Raw genomic sequence first — 23,770 nt, 5'->3', positions numbered from 1 at the left:
CAAAGTGTGTTTCCCACGGTATCAGAATCACCTGGGAGCTGTCAGAAATGCACATTCATCTGCCCGCTGCAAACCTGATGCATCAGGAACTCTGGGATGGAGCCCAGTTGAGAAGCACCACTCTACAGGGATATGCATCTGGGCACAGGTTTTGCAAGATACAGGATACTTTTTCTTGCATGTCCCAGAATCTGTAGCATCCTTGGCTTCTGCCCACTAAATGCCCGTTCACCGCCCAATCGCTGCAGCAATCCAAAATGCCCCGACTGAGTTCCAAACATCCCCACTGAGGACCACTGGACCAGATGGTTAGTATAGGGATCCTTCCTGCCCAGGTTTCCTGAGATTCTCAGCCTGGGTGTGGGGTGTGCACAGAAGGGGGCAGGCAGCTGAGGAGCCATCCAGGATGCTCGTTGTTCTGGCTGAGTGATGCTGCCCATTCCGGCAAGGGGCGTCCAGGAGGCTGGTTTCAGCTTCCAATGGCTGGAAGTGTTGGGGAAAAGGCTTTCAAAGATCCCTTTCAAACTGCAGCTAAGAGCACTTTGCCATGGAAGTAGGCGTAGTCACTGCTCCCTAGATGGTGCCGGGGCCTTGGATATTTCTTCCCTAACCAGCTGCAACCATCCGAGCGGCCAGGATGTTACTCAGGACACAGCTCAGCCCACTTCTGGAGAAGGAAGAGGAGCCACAGCCTGCCAGAGTCTGAATCCTGTGGCTACAAAACTCTGTCCCAGAACCCTGAGAGAGCTCTCAGGCCCCTGAGAAGAGGGCTTGACCTAGCACCCCGACCCCATGGGATGCACGGAGTTACCCCTGCCCCTGCCCTGACCAATGGCCAGCCCTTCTGTCTACCTAATAGACCAGGAGGGGCCATACCCCATGAATTGCTCAGGTTGTTTCAGCCCAGCATGGGCTGGGGAGTGGGGACAGCCAGACCAGCAGCCCGACACCCTGTACTGAGGTCTGCGGGTCTGCCCTGCAGTCTCCAAACACATAGCTGGAAGACTGTGATTCCGCTCTAGCACACAAACAGAAGCAACATGTGCCATTTCAGAGCCAAGGCTTTTAAGAGCAGCTGTGCCTCCTCCACGTTCTCACTTTCGCTTTCTGCCAGCTGGATGTGGATGACAACAGGACCTGAATAAGGGTGCAGCCACACGACGGAGAGAGCTAGGCTCCCCAAATTACTATGAGGAGGAAAGCCACATGCAGACCAGGAGGCTTCATTTCAGACTCACATGAGGGAGAAATAAACTTCCACTGTGTTTGAACCATTATACATTTCGTGGTCTATTTGTTACTGCACCTATACTAATGAATACGTTCCGGGACACTAGAATGTAGTGACACTCAGGTCATATATCTGCTGCAGCTGGTAGTGGGGATGGCACTTGCCAATGCCTTTCTCTTCCAGTGGCGCATGAATCTCTAACATTGATCATACCTTTCACTTGGGTAAACTAAGTGGGTCATTAGAGGTATCTCTAATCAAATGCCAATGAGTGTCCACAATATGCCAAGCCAGTGCTAGGCTCTGGAACACAAAGATAAATGCAACCCGTTCCTGCCCAGCAGCTGAGGCCACACAGTAATGATATACTATGGGAAGGTATGTACTGGAAGCGTGGACACCTGGCAGGAAGAGCCCAGATCTAAGAGGGATTTGTCCTGTGTGAGAGGCTGGAAAGACTATCCTGCAAAGCATGTAGATGCAGCTGCCTTGAAAAGATGGGGGAGGGCCGGGCGCGGTGGCTCACGCCTGTAATCCCAACACTTCAGGAGAGGCGGGGATCGCCTGAGCTCAGAAGTTTGAGACCAGCCTGGGCAACATGCAAAACCCGGTCTCAACAAAAAAAATACAAAAATTAGCCAGGCATGGTGGCGTGAACCTGTAGTTCCAACTACTCAGGAGGCTGAGGTGGGAGGATCCCTTGGGCCCAGGAGGTCAAGGCTGCAGTGAGCCATGATCACGCCTCTGCACTCCAGCCTGGGCAACAGAGTGAGACCCTGTCTCAAAAAAAAAAAAAAAGAAAGAAAGAAAGAAAGAAAAGAAAAAGGAAAAAAAGAAAGAAAAAAAAAGATGGGGAGGGAGGGGATTGTTAAGAAAAGAAAGTGAGGGGGCTTAAGTTCCCAGATAGGAGAACTGTGTGTGCAAAGTTAAGAGATATGAAGGGACCAAATTGTCTGAGGAGCAATGAGACACTTGGGGTGGCCTGATTATCAGGGAGTCATTAGATCCTGGGCTGGTGGGCTTTGGGGGAGGTGCGGATTGTTTTTGTTTTTGTTTCTTTGAGACAGAGTCTTGTCTTTCACCCAGGCCAAAGTGCAGTGGTGCAATCTCAGCTTACTGCAGCCTTTGCCTCCTGGGTTCAAGAAATTCTCCTGCCTCAGCCTCCCGAGTAGCTGGGACTACAGGCACCAACCACCAGGCCCGGCTAATTTTTGTATTTTTAGCAGAGATGGGGTTTCGCCATGTTGGCCAGGGTGGTCTTGAACTCCTGACCTCAGGTGATCCGCCCACCTCAGCCTCCCAAAGTGCTGGGATTACAGGTGTGAGCCACCACACCCTGCCAGGGGGGTGTATATTGGATCCAGATCTTGGACAGCTTGAATGCCACACCTGAGCCCAGCATGAACCATGGAAACTTAGGAATTGAATGACACCATCCTCACTGTTCTCATTCTAGAGCTACCACCTGGGAAATATTTCATACACTTTGTGTGTGCAGCTGTGTGCCCATGAGGCAGGTTTCTGTGATCTCATTTTGCAGATGACAAAATGGAGGCTGCAAGAGATTAGGAAGTTGTCCAAGTCCACCCAGTAGCAGGAATGGCATTTAAATCCACTGGAATACAAGCTTCAGACTTTGCATAGGGCACTGCCATATCCCAGTGCTCAGAACAGGGCCTGGCATGTAGTAAGCCCTCAATAAATATTTGTTGAGTGAATGAATGAATCTCTCTGACTCCAAAACCCTGTGACACTAATCAGACTTTTTTTTTTTTCTTTTTTGAGACACAGTCTCACTCTGTTGCCCAGGCTAGAGTGCAGTGGCATGATCTGGGCTCACTGTAGCCTCTGCTACCCGGGTTCAAGTGATTCTCCTGCCTCAGCCTCCCAAGTAGCTGGGATTACAGGCACCTGTCACCATACCTGGATAATTTTTGCATTTTTAGTAGAGGCAGGATTTTACTCTGCTGGCCAGGCTGGTCTTGAACTCTTGACCTCAAGTGATCCACCCACCTCGGCCTCCCAAAGTGCTGTGATTACGGTGTGAGCCACGGCACACCCCTGGCTTTAGTGGGGTGGAAGAAAGAGATGGCGAAACCAGTGAGAAGCATTCTGCAGTGCACCAGGAGCGGCTAAAGGAGGACAGAAATCTAGGAGGCAGAAGCAATCCCAAAGAATTGGAGTGGGTGGAATGTGTTGACCAATTTGATAACAAGACCTAGCATTAATTGAGCAGTTGCTATGTGCCAGAGCTATGGTCTAAATGCATCTCCCCAAATTCATATGTTGAAACTTAATCACCAATGTGATAGTATTAAGAGGAGGGGCTTTTAGGGGGTATTAAGGCATGAGGGTTCCACTTCATGAATGGGATTAGAGCCCTCAGAAGGGGCTGAAGAGATGAGAATTCTTCCCTTCTACCTCGCGAGGAAACGGTAAGAAGGCACCATCTATGACCCACAGAAAACAGGCCCTTACCAGACACTAAATCTGTTTGTATCTTGATGTTGGACTTCCCAGCCTCCAGAACAATGAGACATAAATTACTATGATTTATAAATTACCCAGTCTAAGGTATTTTGTTGCAGCAGCAGAACGGACTAAGATAGCCAGGCAACGTCCTAAGCACTCTGTCAGTGTTAACTATTATCTCTTCCCCACAAACCAATGAAGTAGGTAGGTGCTCTCCTGATCTCCACTTCACAGGCAAGTAAATTAAGGCACAGAGAGGTGAGAGGTTACAGATCTGGTAAGTGATAGAGGTGGGACTCAAAGCCAGGCATGCTGGGGTCAGGGCTCTGGGAAGGGAGGAGTAAGGGAGAGGGAGGAATCATGGGTGGCTGCTAAGTTTCTGGCATGGCGACTGACAGCATGTGGGGCCACCACTTCCTCTGCTGACCTGGAACTCAGACAAGGCAGGCCACAAGCCAGGGGCTGCCTGACCTCTTGGCGGGGCCGCCAGCGTTCTGGGTGGCCCTTTCTCTCTGCAGGACCCTGAGGAGGCTCTGGAGGAAGCTGTGTGGAGAGTGTGGAAGACTCCACCCCCAACCCCTGCAGTAAGCTGGAGATGCTGGCAGCCACCAACAGCAAGGCTCTGCAGCAAAGGGACCTGGATGTGGTGGGACAGCTCACTGGCTCCTCCATAGTGCAGAGAAGTGGAAAGTCCTCTGCCCCAAATCCCCTGTGAAAGCCTGATCTCCACCCCTGCTGGGTGGGGGCCATGGTGCCTGGGCTGGGAACCAGGATATGGGGATTTATGGGGTCCAGACCACGAGGAAGGGAAGGGCTGGGAGTGAGGGGCAGAGGAAGGCCAAGGTCAGGCCCTCTGAGCCTGTCCTGTAAGCAGAGACCTGCAGTAACCACATGGCCCCAGGCAGGAAAGGAAACAGGAGGCTTCTCAAAATAGACCAGGAGCGTGCAGCTCTGTTGCATTTCCCAGCTCCCACCATCTGGCCAAGCCTAGGCAGGAAGGCAGGCGGGGGAGGGGAGATCCGTGGAGGGCTCCGACTGTCTGCAACCCACCTCTCACCCAGACCTTCCCCTGTTCCTCTTCTGTTGACTCTGTGGCATCATTGCCAGGCCAGATCGTCATCATCTCACAGGTGAGAAAACTGAGGCTCAGAGAGGTAAAGTGACTGGTCCAAGGCCACACAGCTGATGAGCGGCAGAGCTGAACCCAGCGCTGAGCCTCCCCACACAGCAGCTTGAGGCCTGGCCACAAAGTCTGCAGCCTGCACATGCCCTAAACGCCACTGTTAGTCCCCTGCCTTTTGGCTGAATCTGACCTTAGACCAGCTCCCCGTGAAGAAAACCGAGTTTGTGATTCACCAGTTAGAACCCAGGGAGGACCAATCTTTCGCACTGTCACACCTGCCTTTTGGCTGCGGGTGAGGACCACAGCAGTAGGAAGTTTGGGGAGAAGGGTGTGGTGGCATGTACCTATAGTCCCAGCTACTCTAGAGGCCGAGGAGAGAGGATTGCTTGAGCCCAGGAGCTCAAGTCCAGCCCAGACCCTGTCTCCAAAAAAAAAAAAAAAAAAAAAAAAAGAAGAGAGAATCAGCAGACAGAAATGGTCTCCTAGGATTAGAGGAATTTAAGAGCAATCATCCTGTTTTGCAGCCTCTTGCCCTGCAGCCTGTTTCTTCCTAAACCCTGTGTGGAACCGAGTGGCCTGCTTGCTTAAGTAGGTGACAGACCCTGACAGACCCCAGCAGCTTAGTGATAAGCCTGAGTGAACTTTCCTTATTACCACGCTAAAGTCTCTGCCCTGGGAGAAGCTGTAGCTTTATTATTCTAACATTCGGCCTGTGTGCTGGCAAAATGACTCACTGCATCTACGCCACCGAGACCCCCTTCTACATGCGATGATGCAACCTCTCCCCTCTCCATGGCTCCGTAACACCCTCCTGTCACCTTCCCTCTAGAAGACACTGTTTTGGAGAATATTCCCAGGGAGCTCCTTACTTGCGCCAAGTAATAAAACGCCTATTGATCAAAACCTGAGTTCTGATGAAGAGTTATTTGTTACTCACCAGGCAAACGAACCCCCGTGTTTTGGAGGTAACACGAAGGGTAAGGGAGAGTGGTGTGGGCACTCCAGGCAGGCCCTGCCAGGGTTCCCCCTAGCGGGGGAACAGAGATCCCTAACAGCTAACAGGGAGTGAGTTGTTCACACCCTAGTATGAATTAGTTTTGTAAACTACTGTCCCTAAAAGCAGAGAGGAGACTTTCCAGTGAGAGGATCAAGTTCACAGAAGAAAGGGTCCACCTCATGGTGGAGCTGAGGCTAGGGCATCAGGGACATTCATCCTTCCTGTGGGGGTGGGAAAAAGCAGCTCTAACCCCTGGGACTGAAACCATTTTCCATGCAGATTCTTTCAGGGTCTGTCAGTTCTTGGCCCAGGAAAATTCCCTGCGGGGGGGTGGGGGAAGAAGCATTGTCTGAAATGCCCGAAAGGAAAAATCTTCTCTGCCTGCCAAACGCACATTATTGTTCCCACCACATCCCAGCCACAGACCAACTTCTGTCGGGATTCCACCCTGCCTTGGCCTTGACCCCCCCGAGCGCTGGATTATACTGGGAAGAGATTCGGGCTGTGTTGGGAAGTCGGCCAGGTCTCCGGCTCTGTGATGCCTCCTCCTCCTTTCACCGGGTAGAAACAGTCACTGGACCTGGCCTGGATGACCGCTGTGGCTCAGAGGGAGGCAGAGCCAGCCAGGGAGTGGGGGAGGTGCTGTGGGGGAGGCTTGGGGGACTGGTGACCCAGATTCCACTTCCTGTCCTGCTTCCCTCCATTCCCAGACAGCAGCTGCAGCTGGACACTGACCACAGGCCAAAGGATACCTAGCGCCAACTTCTTGCTAGAAGCAGCGACTGGGGCTTCCCTAGGCTCTGAGTCAGCCACCCTGCAGCCCCGTCCCCCGCCACACCTTCCCACCTGGGCCACGGAAGCTGCCGTTTCTGAAAGGAGGAGTCTGGAAATTCCTCCATCTGGTCCAGACACTCCCACTTTCCAAAGGAACAAACGGAGGCCCAGAAGGAGGCAGAGACCTGTCCAAAGCTACCAGAGTGGGTTGGTGGCAGGGGCCACCACCTGGACCCAGGTCTTCTAACTTCAGGTTCTCAGAAGATTCCGTAGGTATCTGTTGAATAAATGGATGGATGGAAGGATGGACAAAGGGATGGAAATCCTGATGGGCGTGTCCCTACAACAGTGACAGGGGAGTCAAGGATCCATTGCTTGTTCTTCTTGAAGAAGACTCGGGGGTGGGGGGCAGGTCACTGGGGAGAGCAGCCAGGGTCCCAGGCCCCGCTGTGCCACACCATGCCAGTACTTGGAGTGGGGGAATTGCTAGAACTTACTTTCCAGAGTCCTGGAATCACACTGTCTCTGGCTCTTTCTAAGGAGCTCTTGCTTTCACCTCTTCTGGGATGGAGGTGGTGAGGGAGCACTCACCATCATCTCATTAACAAAAGTTTATTGGGGTGTCTCATACACTGAATCTAGAATTTGCACCGCAAACCCTGTAGACAAGCTCCCTGCACTTATGGGGGAGACAAACAGCCAATGAGCAAATAAAGGATTATCCCAGTTGACAAACTCATGTGATGCAGGCAAACGTTGAGATGCCTTTGGTGGAGAGAAGGGCTGGGTCTTCATTGTCTCTCTGAGAAAGTGACATTTAGGCTGATCCCAGAAAATAAGAAGGAAACCAGCCCAGTAAAGTTCCAGGGAAACAGTTTTTCCAGGCAGAGGAGACAGCAGGTGCAAGAGCCCTGGAGTGAGCAAGAGCTCAGCATTGTCATCAAAGAATGGCCACAGTGGGTGGCTGGAGCACCCTGAGGGGGCAGAGGGAGGCCCCGGGAGAGGTCTGTGAGGCTGGCCAGGGCCAGGTAACCCAGGGCTTCGTGACCAGCATGTAAAGCCCGGGTCTTACTCTGAGATCTGTGCCAAGCCAGAGAAGGGTTGTAAGCAAGAGGGTTGCTGGAATCCAGTTTTATGTTTGAAGATCATATTTTCCTTTAAAAAGAGTGGGTGGGGGGTGGGGGTGGGGTGGGAGAAAAAGACAGCAGGGAGACAGGTTAGGAAGCGCTGGCAATGGTCATGATGAGAGATGATGTCACCTGAAGGGTGGCAGTGTTGGTGAAAGAAGCGTACCCTTTATAGAGAGCTTTTAGGTGGTGGAAATGATGGGGCTTGCTGAAGGAATTGATGGCTGTGAGAGAAGGGGAAGAGGAATGGCACCCACGTCTCTGGCTCTCCGATACCCATAAATGCCATTTAATAAGACTGGGGAGGGTGACATGGAATGCTCGGCTTTGGATGAGTTCAGTTGGAGATGCCTTTATTTTTATTTATTTGTTTGTTTGTTTATTATATATATTTTTTGAGACAGAGTCTCACGCTGTCGCCCAGGCTGGAGTTCAGTGGGATTACAGGCATACTCCCCACCATGCCCAGCTAATTTTTGTATTTTTATAGAGATGAGTTTTCGTCATGTTGGCCAGGCTGGTCTCGAACTCTTGACCTCAGGTGATCCGCCGGCCCAAAGTACAGGCGTGAGCCACTGCGCCCAGCCTGAGATGTCTTTAGACATCCAAGGGGAAATGTTAAGAAGGCGGTTGGATATTAATAATGGTGACAATGATCATGATAATCATCTACTATTTGTATTTCTCTTTTCCTGTTTGCCATGTACCCTCTCACCAGACCGTGCCCCTCAAGGGCAGAGACTGAGCCGGATTTTGCTCATAACCCCATTCTCAGCATTTAGCCCAGTGCTGTCCTGGGGCCTGGTGGGCAGGGCAGAGGGGAGAAGACATGATAATTATTTGTCAGATAAACAACTGAATGGGCAGAAGCCACTGTGCAGACTGAGAAGGAAGAACAGCTCCTCCTACCACAGCAACAGATCCTGCCTAAGAAAATGGTCCAGGCTGGGTTTCTGGGAACGTCAGCCCATGGCCTCGGCTCTCCCATCTCTCTCTTTGGTCTCCTCTCCCTGTCTGCCTGCCAGCTTCCTGCCAGGAAACACAGCCCCCAGGTATTAATCATTAACTAACATCACCTCTCACACTGGAGGTACACTTCCCTTCTCAAAACACTTTGCCTTCCATTATCTTGAATGGTCCTTGAAACCACACTGGGAGGGGGGCGGAGGCAGCGTCCAATGCTCAGGACAGGAAAAGAGGCTCTGAGAAAGGGAGAAAGCACTCCAGGTACTGGTGCAGCCAGGAGGGAACCTGGGTCTCCTGCCACCCTGCCTCTCGTGGATTTGCTAAGTGCCCCTTTTAGCCCTGCAGTTCTCCGAGTTTCCCTCCAACTCGAAGGTCCCTGGGATCCAGCTCTGAACTCTACCCAGGAGGATCTAAAGGCTGTGATATGAAGGTCCCCTTCCCCAGCCCTCCCTGGCATACTGCCCCTGCCCAGGGCCACTCCTCTGGTGGCCTCGAAGAGCCCCTGGCCATTTCCCAGCAGCCTCTGCTCCGTCCAGCAGACACATGCCACCTGCTCTCCGCATCTAGACCCTTAGAACAATTTCCCCTCTGCTGGGCAAGGCTGTGACAGGAAAGGGACAGGACCTGACCCCTGTTTGGGAAACCAATTGTGCAACATTGTCCTACGAGGGGAAGCATGTGGCCAACGGGAAAGGCAGCCTGAAGAAGCCAGGGCTTTCTTTGAAATGAACATCTTGGCAAGATCCACAGAGAAATGTCCTTTCGGACGCCACAAACTCTGGGTCACTGCTAATTTATTCTGAGCCTGGTTGCAGTGTCTGGTCCCAGCATTCCTGGATTCAGAGCCCGGCTAGGTCATTGTCAAGCATATGTGGAGTTGCAGGGCAGAGGATAACCTGCACTCCCATCTTCTGTTTGTACCCAGAGGAGGTGTGATCCCATAGTCCATTCATCTGGGTCTCCTCTCCCTAGGCCAGCAAATAACACATTCTCAGCAGCAGGTAAAAGTTATTTTGAAACAAGTCTAAGTAAAGCAGATAATGGGACAGAAAGGTGAGGGAGAGATTTTAATGGTATAGCTACACAAAGCATTTTTTTTTCTTACAACCTAAGGTGATTCTGAAGATAATGAAATCATTGCATCATTATTTGGAATGAGTGCACAATAATGGCCACGTGTAGTGGACACCTACCACATGCCAGAGACAAGGCTGGGAATTTTATATACATTATGTCTCATCTCACAGCGTCTTTGCAAGGCAGTTTTTTTTTTCTTTTATATGGAGTCTCGCTCTGTCACCCAGGCTGGAGTGAAGTGGCACGATCTTGGCTCACTGCAACCTCTGCCTCCCAGGTTCAAGTGATTCTCCTGCCTCAGCCGCCCAAGTACCTGGGACTTACAGGTGTGCACCACCATGCCTGGCTAATTTTTGTATTTTCAGTAGAGAGGGGGTTTCACCATGTTGGCCAGGCTAGTCTTGAACTCCTGACCTCAAGTGATCTGCCTGCCTCAGCCTCCCAAAGTCCTGAGATTATAGGTGTGAGCCACAGCGCCCGGCCTGACAGATTTCTTATCAGTTTCACAGATGAGGGAATTGGGGCTCCAAGGAGGTCACATAACCCCCACCACCATGCCTCCACCCCCCTACCCCACCCCCACCCAAGCCATAGGCAGTGGTTTGAGGAGCTGGAATCCAAACCAGGTCTGTTAGATTCTCCCCTGCCCTCCACCAGGTCCCTCATGATTCTGTTGATGGAAGGCAATATTTAACAAGTGACTCACAAAGTGACTTGGGTGTAATACCTCGATCTGTTCAGTGCGTTCCTTAGAAAGCTCCTCATGATCTCAATGCAATCATTCTCTGGTTCCCATCTCCCCTTACAGCACAGAGCACCAATTTCGTTCCTACCCTTGCCCTTCAGGTATAACCCGTGGCTGGTTCCCTTCCTTAGAAAGTGCATTCATGAAGTCCTGGACCACATCCCCTGCACCAGGCACATAGTAGGTGCTCAGTAAATATTTCCGGATGAGTACAGAAATGAATGCAAAATAATTCTTTTTCCTTAATAATATTCTCTAATTCAAACTTGGTCTCCTGTTTTCTCTAATTAATTCCGAGTAATCGACTGTTTCCTGGAGCACCTTTATTCTAAAACCCTTTTACCTATGCTCTTATCCTATTTGCTCTCTCAAGTTCCTTGAGAGCTTGCTGGAGAGACACAATCACCTCCAATGGGGGATGGGCCAAAATAGGGCACGCAAGGCTGTGGGTGGGCTCTGTGATGCTCACTCAGATCCCCTCAAGGCTGAGGGACTTCTTTCCCAACCCTTAGGTGTGCCCCAGACAGAGAGAGCTGCCCCTCCTCTGTCTTGCACCCCTTCCTAGGCACCTGCACCCAAGGCTGACTGACTAGGGGCTGGAGGCCTGCCCTTGCAACAGAGATTCGAGGCCACCCCAGCCTCAGAGTGACCTGGGCAGAGGCCAGCTGTACCGCAGCCCACCGCTCCTCTGACCACTCCTGCCTCCTCTCTTCTCCCACCGTGTGAATCCCAAGAGCACTCCCTAATTCTGGCTCTGCACACAATTCTCCTACTCAGACTCGCTTCTGGGGACCTGAACCTCCACAGGAGGAATGACTTCCAGATCCTTCAGCAATTCCATGGCTCAGTCGGGACCAGAGCCCTGGACCCCTGACTCCCAGGCTCCTGTTAGAGAGTCCAGCTCCTGTGAGCCAGGTCCAGGTCAGAGTGCCAGGGACTCGGCCACGTGCTCAGCAGACACATCCGCACCTGCCTCCCCATGCGGGCGGTTCACACACATCAATAAAGAAAGCAGGTAAAGTGGGGACGTGTTGTGTGAGAAAAGGTTAGAAACAGGGAGTGGTCAAGAGGGCCTTGCCACTTTGGGAGGCCGAGGCGGGCTGATCACTTCAGGTCAGGAGTTCAAGACCACCCTGGCCAACATGGTGAAACCCTGTCTCTACTAAAAATACAAAAATTAGCCGGGCATGGGGGTATGTGCCTGTAATCCCAGCTACTCAAGAGGCTGAGGCACGAGAATCGCTAGAACCTGGGAGGTGGAGGTTTCAGTGAGCCGAGATTGCGCCACTGCACTCCAGCCTGGGCAACAGAGACTAAGTCTCAAAAAAAAAAAAAAAAAAAAAAAGAGGGCCTTGGGGTGGGAGAGGCAGGACAGAGAGGTGGTTCTGGGACCACCTCTGAGGGAGATGAAGGGCAGGATGAGCCAGCTGAGCCGCGGCCACCTTCCACAGCTCCCAGGCTGCAGTTAGCCTGGGTGAGGCTTGGGCTCTGTCACCCGAGAACCCACCAACAGCTCCCCCTCTGCTCCAGGGAGTTTTGTCACCAAAGTTTACCAAAGCTTTCTCAGCAAACGGACTCTAGCTACTCAACTCCTTCAAAGTCACAAACAGACCAGGACTCAAGATGATACACTCTGAGCTTTCAGCTCCTTTGTGGGGAGAATGTTTTGAAGGGAGGTGGAAAGAGAAAAGGAGTCTGTGAAGTTGCCCTGGGCGGGGAGAGGGGAGCAGAGCACAGGAACACCAGCTCATCTCCCTGGAAACCTTGACCAAAGGTGGCTTGGGGCATGGGCACCACGGCCACACCCTTCCTGACTGGGTATTCTGCCAAGACAGCCCAGAGGAGGCTTCTGAGCAAAGGGTCCCTAGAGCTTCACTTCCCAGGTGGCCTTCTGGGCCTCCCAAGGCAAACTTCCCAGAGGAAGAGCACAGGAAGACAAATTCCTTCCCATCCAACACCCATGGACTGCCAGCTGCGAGGAAGGAGGAGCAGCCATAATTAGGATGGACATATGTAGTGTTGCATTAGGAGAAAAGTGTTTTTCTTTAACATATTGACATTGATCAAAAATATCCCCCACCCTTTTTTTAAAAGATAAACTTGGCTGTGGGAGTAAATCCTGTCTGTGTCCCTCCCATATCCATATACCCCAACTTGTGCCTCTTGCTGCAAGCATTGTGTCTCTCTTCCTGGGGCCTTCTCTGCCTGGGGCCTTCTCTGACTGCTAGGAAAGCCCCAGTGTCCAGGGAAGTCAGAAGTGCCAGGGAGTTGTGCCCTCTAGGAGCTGACCTCAACCATGTTACCAGGACTTGCTGGAAGAATGCCCCTGTGGGCTGCCCCTCATGTAGGCTACATGGAGGCATGAGCTACCCAAGCTCCCAGAGGTCCCCAGGCGGATAAAGTCCACCTGCCCACATCAGTGGCGTGCTCGTTAATGCAATCTGTACTGGTTTTTGTTTGTTTGTTTGTTTGTTTTCCTGCCCCATCTTGTTTCCCCATCCCCTTACTGCTCCCTGAGATCACATCCCAAATAAACTGCATTCAAATCCTTCTTTCCGGTTTACTTCTGGGGCTACTTAAAACAATCATCTATGATGTTCTTTGAGGGAGGCCATGCAGTGATGCCTGTGCTCAAATCCTGGCTCCCCCTCTACTATCCAGGTGACGTACGCTTCTGAGCCTCACTTTCTTTGCCTGTTAAATGATGATGATGATGATAATAGCGCTTACCCCATAGTTGGAGGTGAGGATTGAATGAGATAATTCATGTAAAGCAAATTTCACAGTACCTGGTACTTGGTACACACTGAAAAGCTACTAGCTTTTCAGTAGATAGATGGCCGTAAAACAGAGCCAAATGACAAACCACAAATTGGAGGGACAATATTTAGAGCAAATGACAAGCAAAGCATTATTATTCCTAAATACGAAGAACTCTTGGAAATTATTAAGAAAAAGACAAAACTACCTTGCAGTATAGCAGCAAAGAACATGAATAGGTAATTCACAGAATAGTGAAAGCACCCAATAAACATATTAAAGGATGTTTAAGCCAACTTCACTAATAAAGAAATGCTAAGAAAACCACAATAATTCGATTATGTAAACATTGCTCAATTGGCAATGATTTTTAAAGACTGATAAGATCCTGTGATAAGAGTGCAGCAAAAATAGACAGCTGACGATGAAAACATAAATTGCTCCAATGTTTCTACAGAACAATGTGGTAGTGCTCATTCAAATTCACAGATTACTTATGAGAACATCTCCTACAGAAATCCCACATTTTTTTGGGTTTAGGTGCAAAAATATTCATCACTATATTGTGCCAAGAAAATTTACAACAACACAAATGATGGTCAATAGGGGATTAAATAAATAAACTATGGTATATTCAAACAACAGAATTCTAGGCAGCTATCAAGAAGAATGAGAGATTTACATGTATGCCAAGAAAGGAAGACTGAGATTTATTACAAAGAAGAAAAAGAAGTTGCACAATTCTATAAACAGCAAGATTCTATTCCTGATTAAGTGATACTTTTTATATATCCTTGTAAATTTTTGGAATTGCATAGACAAATCTGGAAATAACATATATCAGGGAGTGGTGGTGATTTCTGAGGCTTAGAATTACAGAAAATTTTTACATCTAAGTTACACATTTCTGTAATGTTTGAAATGTTGCCAATTTTTTTTTCTTTTCTTTTTTTTTTTTTTTTTTTGAGACAGAGTCTTGCTTTGTCACCCAGGCTGGAGCACAGTCGCGCAATCTCAGCCCACTGCAACCCCCGCCTCCTGGGTTCAAGCGATTCTCCTGCCTCAGCCTCTCGAGTAGCTGGGACTACAGGCATGCACCACCACACCCAGGTAATTTCTGTATTTTTAGTAGAGACGAACAAATATCTCTTTTATAATTAGAAACGAAGCATGTGAATTTTAAAGAGGTAACATCAAGTTGTGGTGGTCTCAGCTTGCCACGACAGAGACTTACTATTCAGGGCATAAAATGAGAATGTTCTGAAAAATGCCCACTTTACATCGATATGTAGATCAAACGAAGGACACCTTAGGTGGTCTAAACTCTCTATGAATGGCTTCTTTTCCTTGTAGTAAAAGGCCAGGACTACCACAAACAACTGGGGCCTCATCTCCCAAGCTCCATGCAAATGCCACTATGGCTCATCAAGCTTTGATGTAAATTCATTTTTTGTTTTTTGTTTTTGTTTTTTTCTTTTTTGAGACAGGGTCTTGCTGCATCACCCAGGCTGGAATGCAGTGGTGTGATCACAGCTCACTGTAGCCTTGACCTCCTGGGCTCAAGCAGTCCTTCTGTCTCAGCCTCCCAAATAGCTGGGACCACAGGCATGTGCCACCACCACTGGCTAATTTTTAAAATTATTTGTCTTGCTATGTTACCCAGGCTATGGATTAGGTTTTGATGAAGTAGAAACCAGAAGCAGCTTGACTTTGGCCAGGCATAAAAATCCTCCCAGAACCTGTTTATGAAGGGACCTCTCTGACCCCTTACCCAGATATAAGGGAAAACAATTGGAAACATTCCTTATCCAAGAACAATAACAACAATAATTAGTGCCACAAGGCTTTCCCAACAAAACCCCAATCACAGCCTCTCCCCATCAGCACTGAGGTTGAGCCAAGTAATTAAAAAATGAAAACCCCTTACCCGACCAGTTGATGCTGGAGAATGTGAAGAACACAGAACTGGGAGAGGAACAGTTCTCCCTTTTATTGGTAAAAAAAAAAAAAAAAAAAAAAAAAAAAAAACCCACCTTCTCAGGTGAATCAGGAAATTCTATTTCACTGGGGTTTTGAAGCATTAAGCAGATGAGATGTTCCATCAATCCCAGTGAGCCTTGTCTCAAGCAGGGAAAGAAAAACAAGTTTTCCCACCTCAAAGGGATGGGAAGATGGGAGAAATACTTCCTCCCTGCCCAAGAGGGAACAAAGCCTACCTGTAGATGTGTGCAGATGGGACATTGACAGTGGGTAAGCCAGGGAGGGAGCGTTCTGGGCCCTTTGATGCCTGTACCTTGCCAGGATCACAGAAGAATCTCTGAATTCTATTCCTGATTACGTGATACTTTTTATATATCATTGTAAATTTACATGTAGCAATCTCTATGAAATTGCCGTATGTTAGGGTTTTTGCCTTTTAATTACTTTTCAGGAGTGCCTTCAAAAACATTATACAAAATGGCAGCCCAAAGCCTTGATCAGCTTGAGCAAGAGCTTCCTAGAGGCCAGGCACAGTGGCTCATGCCTGTAATCCCAGCACTTTGGGAGGCCAAAGCTGATGGATCACTTGAGGTCAGGAGTTTGAGACCAGCCTGGCCAACATGACGAAATCCCTGTCTCTACTAAAAATACAAAATTAGTTGGGCGTGGTGGCAGATGACTGTAATCCGAGTTACTCAGGAGGCTGAGGCAGGAGAATCACTTGAACCCGGGAGGTGGAGGTTGCAGTGAGCCAAGATCGTACCACTGCACTCCAGCCTGGGCAATAGAGCGAGGCTCCATCTCAAAAAAAAAAAAAAAAAAAAAAAAGAGCTTCCTAGAGACAAGAGGAGGAAGGACTCTTCCCATCCGGTAACACTTGTGTCACTTGTTGGTTGTCCATTAAGTAGGAAGCATATTCTATATGACGTACAAGCATGATGTCCCATCTTACAGATAAGGAAACTGAGGCTCAGAGAGATGATTAACTTGCTCAAGGTCACACAGCTGGTAGGTGGTGAGGTCAGGATTCAAACCCAGGTCAGTGTGACTCCACCACCAGAGGCTACTATTAGATTCAGAGGGAGGGATGTCTCCAGGCAACCCAGGTGGGATCTTTAGGCAGGATGCCTGGTACATTAGTTTCCCATTGCTGTTAGAACAAATTACCACAAATTTAATGGCTCAAAATGACACAAATTTATGATTTTAGAGTTCAGAAGGAGGTCAGAAGTCTGAAATGGGTCTCACTGGGCTAAAAACAAGGTGTCAGCTGAGTTGCATTTCCTTCTGGAGGCTCTAGGAAGAAAATCTGTTTCCTTGTTCTTTCCAGCTTCTAAAGCTCCCTGCATTCCTTGGCTTGTGGCCCCTCTCACCATCTTTAAAGCCAGCAATGGGTGGTTAAGTTCTTTCTCACCATGCCATCTCTTTGGTTCTCACTCTTCAACCTTCTCATCCCCATTTAAAGACCCTTGTGACTACATTGGACACTCAGATAATCCCAGATAATCTCCTTAATTTAAGGTCACTGGATTAGCAAACTTAATTCCATCTGCAGCCTAATCCCCCTTGCTATGTAGTGTAACATATTATTCACAGGTTCCAGGGATTAGGACATAGTGGAGAGCCATTATTCTACCTACCACACTCAGAGAGGCAGCAAGCTCATGGGGCCACCAAAGCCCAGGGTCTGGTTTCCACCTTTGCATGAGGATGGAGAAACTGACTCACTCTGGCTAAAATGTCCAATAGCCTGAATAACAGGCTAGGAATGCCTGAACACAGTGGGAGGACTGGCCTTTCAAGAGGCCATTTCCATTCAAGGCACCTCTGTCCTGGTCCTAATGGGATCAGAAGGATCTGGCCCACCGATTATTTACCCAGTCTTACTTATGTTTACTTTTATAAAAGTAATACCTACTCACTCATACAAGATATTCAAACATTACAGAAGTGTGTGCCTATGAGACACTATAATGTGTTCATCAGAACTTGTTTTCTGCTCTCGTTGGGCACACACTAGCCCTCTGTTCCCAGCCTTTCTTGTAGTCTGGTGTGTCCATGTGACACGTTCTGGCCAATGGAGATGAGCAGGAATGAAGGGCACCCCTTCCAGGCCTGGGCCCAGGAAAACATCTACAGATGACCCTTCCTGTGCCTTCCCCTTCCACAGAAAATGGAGACTCCAGCATGGAAAATGGCAGAGCTTCAGGATGAAACTGGAACTCTGGATCACTGCTTGATGAAGAAAGGCACACCAGTCAGGACACCTGTTTTTGACTTTATGAGCCAGAAATAAAGTTGTATTGTGTATGCCAGGGAACTCTGTTTGTTATACCAGCTCTCATTACCTTAACAAATACTTAGACTTTGAAGTTTTGTTAACTCTTTCAGGATTTAAATATACATTCAAATATAAAAATAAGGGATATATAAGTAGAATGCATATACATAGAAGACCAACACTGGCACACTGTGAGAGGGAATGATACGAGGATGTGAATATCAGGAGATGGAGATTATCGGAGAATACTGTGGAGCTGGATACCATAGTCTGCCCTCTGTCCCTTGTGATTTGTATCTCTCTCTCATAGAAGATAAACTTACTTCCTCCCAAGGTTCCCAAAGTCTCATCCCATTACAACATCAGCTTTAAGTTCAGAATCTCATCATCTAAATCAAGTCCAGGTGTAGATGAGGCTTCTAGGGTGTAGTTCTTTAAGTATAGCTGCTTGAATACATTTTTCTCAATCTGTAGACTGATAAACTACAGAGACAAGTTATCTTGCCCCCTATACACACTATATTCAATGATGGGACAGGCATAGAATAACAACTATAGACAGTCCTGTTCAAAAAAGGCAAAATGAGAGGCACAAAGGAGTCACTGCATAGCAATTAATTAATTAATTAATTAAGATCCAGACTGGGCAAATGTTGTAGGTTCCTTGATTAAGACTCGGTCTTACTCCTGTCAAGAAGTGATTCTCCATGGCTCTTGGCCACACCTTCTAGTTCCACCCTCTGAGTCATCCTTTCTTTTTTATGGCAGGCAGCACATGTTTGAAGATCAGTAGCTTTGTATAAATTTGACAGCCCAAATGCTTCTTTTATTTTGTACATTCTCTGTCCTTTTCAGATCAAGGTAGTGATGTTTTTGCTGATATAATCATCTTAAAAGCTGTCTGGATCTCTTGTGAATGTTTTTAGGGTTTACACTGTCTATCACACAAAGTCACACACACAAATCTGAGATAAACCCTTCTCTGTCTTGGGCTTCTGGTGAGAGACAACACCCTTGAGCTTCTTAGTAGCTATATTATTTGATTGAGCAAATCTGTCAGACACAACCTCAAAACATTAGAGGACATTCTGTCTGCATGAATAGTATTCTGAGGCTCCTCCTTAAATGTTTCTGAGATCTTAACAAAAGATCTGGAAGTCATATCTTATATCTCATTTTTAGCCTTTTTTAAAGTCAGTACCTTGATTTGATCTTTGCTCAAATGTATTTCTTACTTTTAGCATTGTTTGCATCCGGAGAGGCTTAGAATTATCAAATGTATCAAGTCCCTGCTTCTTCATACTTAACAGTGTTGATAAACTTCTTGCCTCTACATAATATGGATTTTCTCTCCTCCATTTTTTTTCCCTCACTGGCAGCCTCCACAAAAGGTACAATGCTTCTATAAACAGTTTTTTCAGAACATTTAGATTGTCACTAACACTATCCTCAAAGTCCTTCCAGCTTCTGCCCACCACCCAGTTCCAAAGCCATTCCTACATTTTTAGGTAGTTTTTATGATAACACCCCACTCCTGGTACCAAAATCTCCATTTTTCCTTTATTGCTGCATAGCAAATTACACCAAAATTAGTGTCTTAAAACAATAAACATGTATTATCTCTCGATCTCTGTATTACAGGAATTTGGGGGCTGCTCTTTTGGGAAATTCTGGCTCAGAGTCTCAAATGAGATTGCAATCAAGATGTTGGCCATGGCTGTAGTCAACCAAAGGCTTGTCTGGGGTGGGAGGATCTGCTTCCAAGGTTACTCATGTGGCTGTTGGCCGTAGGTTTTCATTTCTACCACGTGGACCTCTCCATAGAGCTGCTCATTACATAGTAGCTGGCTGTATTCTACTGGTAACACATATCAACCCTTGCACACTGTGAGAACAGACTATATAAAGGTTTGAATTTCAGCATGCAGGGATCCTTAAGGCCATCTTGGAGGCTGGTGTTGGGGATTGAATGGTGCCACTGCTCCTCTGTCTCCATGCAAAAGGTATGTCCACCTGCAACCTGTGACTGTGAACTTATTTAGAAAAGGGGTCTTTGAAAATATAATTAAGTTAAAGGTCTCAAGATTAGATCATCTCAGATTATCCAGGTGGGCCCTAAATCCAATGACAAATGTCTTAAGAGAAGACACAGACAAAGAAGACCAGTGGAGATAAAGGTAGAGATAAAGAGTGATATGTGTACAGGCCAAGGAATGCCAAGGATTGCTAGCAAACCCCAGAAACTAGGAAAGAGGTGTGGAGTGAATTTTCCCTCAAAGGCTCCAGAAGGAACCAATCCTGCCAACACTGTGAATTACAGCAGTCATAGTCCATGAATATAGCTGGCTACCACAAGAAATCAGCCCATCAATGTGATTCTCACTCTAAATTCAAAGGTATATATCTTGAGGTCTCTTCCTGCCTGTGGAATCTCATGACAGTCATTCATAAATATTTATTAAACACTTACCATTTGCCAAGCATTGTTCTCAGTGCTGGGAGCACCACAGTGAAGAAAAGAGACAAGGATCTCTGCCTTTGCTCTCTGTCTATCACAGGCTAGTGACATTCACTAGAAAGGAGCTTTCATCCTGGTAAGGATCAGTTCAATACCTTAGTACGTTGGCTCTTCCAAATTCCTCATGTTATAATGATCTTATATATCCACAGGAGGAAGATTAAGATGAAAAGTCCTAGAGTTGGGGGTTGCATTTAATAAATGAAAAACACAGAATTCTGTAACATTGCCTATTTCAGGATAAACATGAGGAGTGAATTATCCTTAAGCCGCTCTACCCCCAAATCATCATTCTTTAAGTGGAGATTTAAGAATGGTTCGCCCAATACCCACTGAAACCATCTTATGCTCTTCCACCTTTTCCACTTCATTAGACGGTTCTTTTTCTTTCCTGGTCTGGAAGGTCCCTTGTATATTAATGCAATCAAATTACGCTACCCTAGCCCACCACAAGGGTTGAGAGCAGGCCAAAGTAACTGGTTAGACCAGTAAGAAGATGGGGATGGTATTTGATTAAGCAGTATGACTTTGCAAACTATTATTACATGTACTAAGGTTTCTTTTCCAGGAGATAGATAGATAGATAGATAGATAGATAGATAGATAGATAGATAGATAGATATCTCAAAACCAAAGAACAGAGCATCTGCATTTAAAAAATACATGATGTATTTGCATATGGAATCCATAAATAGAACACTCACACTAAAACTACCACTCAAAATCATTTTGTGCACAGAACATATTACACAACAATTACTTATTTGCCTAAAATAGTGTTGGATTATTTCACAAAACCTGTATCCACACCTGTTTATTTGGCACTAGATGTGCTTCATTCCAAGTCATGTTATGTAGTCTTTCCTCTAAAACATTGTTTCTCAAACTCCTGTGCACATCAGCATCACTTTGGATGGATAAATGCTTACCAAAGATAAAAATTCATCATAGAAGTTGTGTTTTTGCATTATTGAGGCAGGGTCCAAGAATCTGCATTTAACCAGCTCTCTCAGTGATTCTTTCTTTTTAAATTTCTTTTTGTTATAAAAAAAGAGAGAGATGGAGTCTCACTGTCCTGCCCAAGCTGGTCTCAAACTCCTGGGCTCCAGTGATCCTCCTGCCTCGGCCTCCCAAAGTGCTAGGATTACAGGTGTGAGGCCTCAAACCCAACCTCTCTCAAACCCAAGCCTCTCTCTGTGACTCTGATACACAGAAACTTGCTCCTGGTGCCCCGTTCCTGACCCTGGGTCATTGCTTGGGTTATAAGTGATCTTCTGTTTTAATTGACATTCACCCTCTTCTTGGCCTTATTGGTAAACATAACGCAGAAACTCCTTTCCTGACAGCTGTAAATCACCTGTCCCTTAAAGCACATCTCCTAATCTGCTGGGTTTAGCCCTGACACCATACTATTACAGGCAGGTCCAGCCTTCCGGGAGGTATGAGTGTCTTCACAGAAAGGTCTCCTCTGGTCACCCGCAGGACTGGGCAGCCAAGCATAGCTGTCATTTTTAGATGAGTTCTGAGGCCACTCCTGGTATCAGCATGAATCACCAACAACACCTCAATCACATAAATTTTAAGACCAGTATTAGGAATCCAAATACCTCAATTTCCTGAGAACTATTTACGCTCTGAGTCCCCTTTCATGGGTTTCCAGAAGCCCAGAGCTATTTCTATAGGGCTGGGAATAAAAACTGAGTGAGGGGCAGTGGGTGACATGAGTACACCAAGGTGGTGTGAACACTGGTCTAGGTTCTAGCTCTGCCACTTGCCTGGTGTGGGATTTTGGAAACAGACCCCTTCCTTCTCTGAACCATCAATGGCACCTTCATTCTTTATAGTTGGGGACACTGTCTTACAGGACTCTTGGGAAAAGTCAATGTAGGAATGGAGGAGAAAGTGAAGGTCTGTAGTCACTTATGCAGTTGACAAGTATTTATTGAGTGCCCATTGTATGTCAGGTAGACCCAGGAGATGTAAGGATGACAAAAGTAGACATGCTGTTTTCTCAGAGCTCAGAGTCTATCAGGGTAGACAGACATAAAATGACTAATAAATAACTATAAAATTGTACCAGTTGTAAGTGCTAAAAGAAGGTCAATAGTGAAAGTCAAGGACCAGTGGTCAGGAGCTAACTGTCAGGGAGCACTGGTGAGGTCTGTGACCCTGAGCTATTGGCAGAGTGAGGGAGAGTAGAGGCAGCACGATTGGTGGAAGGCAGCACAGGAGTTGGAAGGGCCTCACTAGCAGAGGACAGCTTGAGTCAATGAGATGATGCCCAGGGAGCTGAGTGGGGAGGACAATTCGGGGGACAGGACCTTCACACCTAGTACTCCATCATCTGTGTGACATCCTCAGGGTGGCCCCTCCTATGTCTTTCCAGCCTCGATCTATCAAAATCCTTCCTATTTTATACTCAATAGTTTATCTGTCCCACTCACATGACATAGTAGGAAGCAATATGGCACAGTGGTCAGAACGCAGGCTCTGGAGCAGACAGACCTGGTTTCAAATCCTGGTTCCATTGCTTGTTGCCTGGGGGACCTTGGGCAAGACACTTCCTCCCTCTCAGCCTCAGTTTCCTCTTCTGTGAAATAAGGAAATAGTATTACTTACCTCATAGCATCAGTGTGATGAATTAATACATGTAAAAGTTTTAGAACAGCACCTGGCACATAGTAACTGGTGAACAAATATTAGCTACTAATGTTACTGGCTTTCTTTTCTTTTCTTTTTTTTTTTTTTGAGACAGAGTCTTGCTCTGTCACCCAGGCTGGAATGCCATTCTCCTGCCTCAGCCTCCTGAGTAGCTGGGACTATAGGCATGTGCCACCATGCCCGGCTAATTTTTGTATTTTTAGTAGAGGTGGGGTTTCACCATGTTGGCCAGGCTGGTCTTGAACTCCTGACCTCAAGTTATCTGCCCACCTCGGCCTCCCAAAGTGCTGAAATTACAGACGTGAGCCACTGGGCCTGGCCATATTACTGGTTTTCTAAGAACTTAACATCTAATAGCTCATCTACTTCCTACAGAAAATCTATGGAAGTTACCACTATCATTGCAGCTTTCTATAGAAGGGTTCATTCATTCTTTAAGAATATGTTAGGTATTGTGCTAGCAACTAGGATTGGCAGTGAGCAAAACAAACATAGGCCCTGCTCTTAGATGCAGGAAAGGTGCTTAAAATGCTACTGGGCTCCCACTGACCGAGTCCAGGACAACTTAAGCCTCAATATAACTCATGATAGTAATAATTATAAGGTGTTACATAAAACAGGAACCCATGAGCCTACACCAACATAAATACATGAATGCACAAATAAATAAATGGGGAGGAGGAAAATTCTTCAGTATGTTGGAATGCCAACTAAAACATGCAGAGAAATGGTTGGGTTTTTTAAAAAATTCACAGATTGGCAAATATCTTAGTAATAACTGATTCAGAAGAATTGTTGTTGGTTGCTAAAAGTAAAAGGTAGAAGTTTGATGAGGAATGAGACGTATGTTCTCAGAATATTTATTACAGGCTAGGCATGGTTGCCCACGTCTGTAATCCCAGCACTTTGGGAGGCCAAGGTGGGCAGATCACTTGAGTCTGGGAGTTTGAGACCAACCTGAGCACCATGGTGAAACCTTGTCTCTACAAAAATAAAAAATTAGCCAGGCATGATGGCATGCACCTGTAGTCCCAGCTACTTGGCTGGCTGAGGTGGGA

At 47.2% G+C, this 23,770-nt stretch overlaps 1 protein-coding gene across 1 annotated transcript in view, besides 2 other annotated features; it reads right to left on the bottom strand.

Moving 5' to 3' along the window:
* Positions 1–23,770, bottom strand: part of ACCSL (1-aminocyclopropane-1-carboxylate synthase homolog (inactive) like) — a 138,910-nt gene that overhangs the window by 65,894 nt on the left and 49,246 nt on the right. Inside the window, exon 4 of the mRNA XM_047426927.1 lies at positions 22,496–22,641. Coding sequence (XP_047282883.1) covers positions 22,496–22,502 — 7 coding nt within the window. The 5' untranslated portion in view covers positions 22,503–22,641. The remainder of the gene's footprint in view (positions 1–22,495; positions 22,642–23,770) is intronic.
* Positions 10,729–11,229: an enhancer, noted in NCBI's record as "H3K4me1 hESC enhancer chr11:44004405-44004905 (GRCh37/hg19 assembly coordinates)". NCBI's record gives its function as "activates a minimal SCP1, AML or CMV promoter by ChIP-STARR-seq in primed H9 embryonic stem cells {active_cell/tissue: H9 hESC(primed)}" and the evidence as "EXISTENCE:reporter gene assay evidence [ECO:0000049][PMID:30033119]".
* Positions 11,230–11,730: an enhancer, noted in NCBI's record as "H3K4me1 hESC enhancer chr11:44003904-44004404 (GRCh37/hg19 assembly coordinates)". NCBI's record gives its function as "activates a minimal SCP1, AML or CMV promoter by ChIP-STARR-seq in primed H9 embryonic stem cells {active_cell/tissue: H9 hESC(primed)}" and the evidence as "EXISTENCE:reporter gene assay evidence [ECO:0000049][PMID:30033119]".

Source organism: Homo sapiens, chromosome 11 (assembly GCF_000001405.40).
Source record: "Homo sapiens chromosome 11, GRCh38.p14 Primary Assembly".
Lineage (NCBI taxonomy): Eukaryota > Metazoa > Chordata > Mammalia > Primates > Hominidae > Homo > Homo sapiens.
The sequence above is the reverse complement of the archived record's forward strand: the minus strand, read 5'-3'. Positions and strand labels throughout refer to the sequence as shown.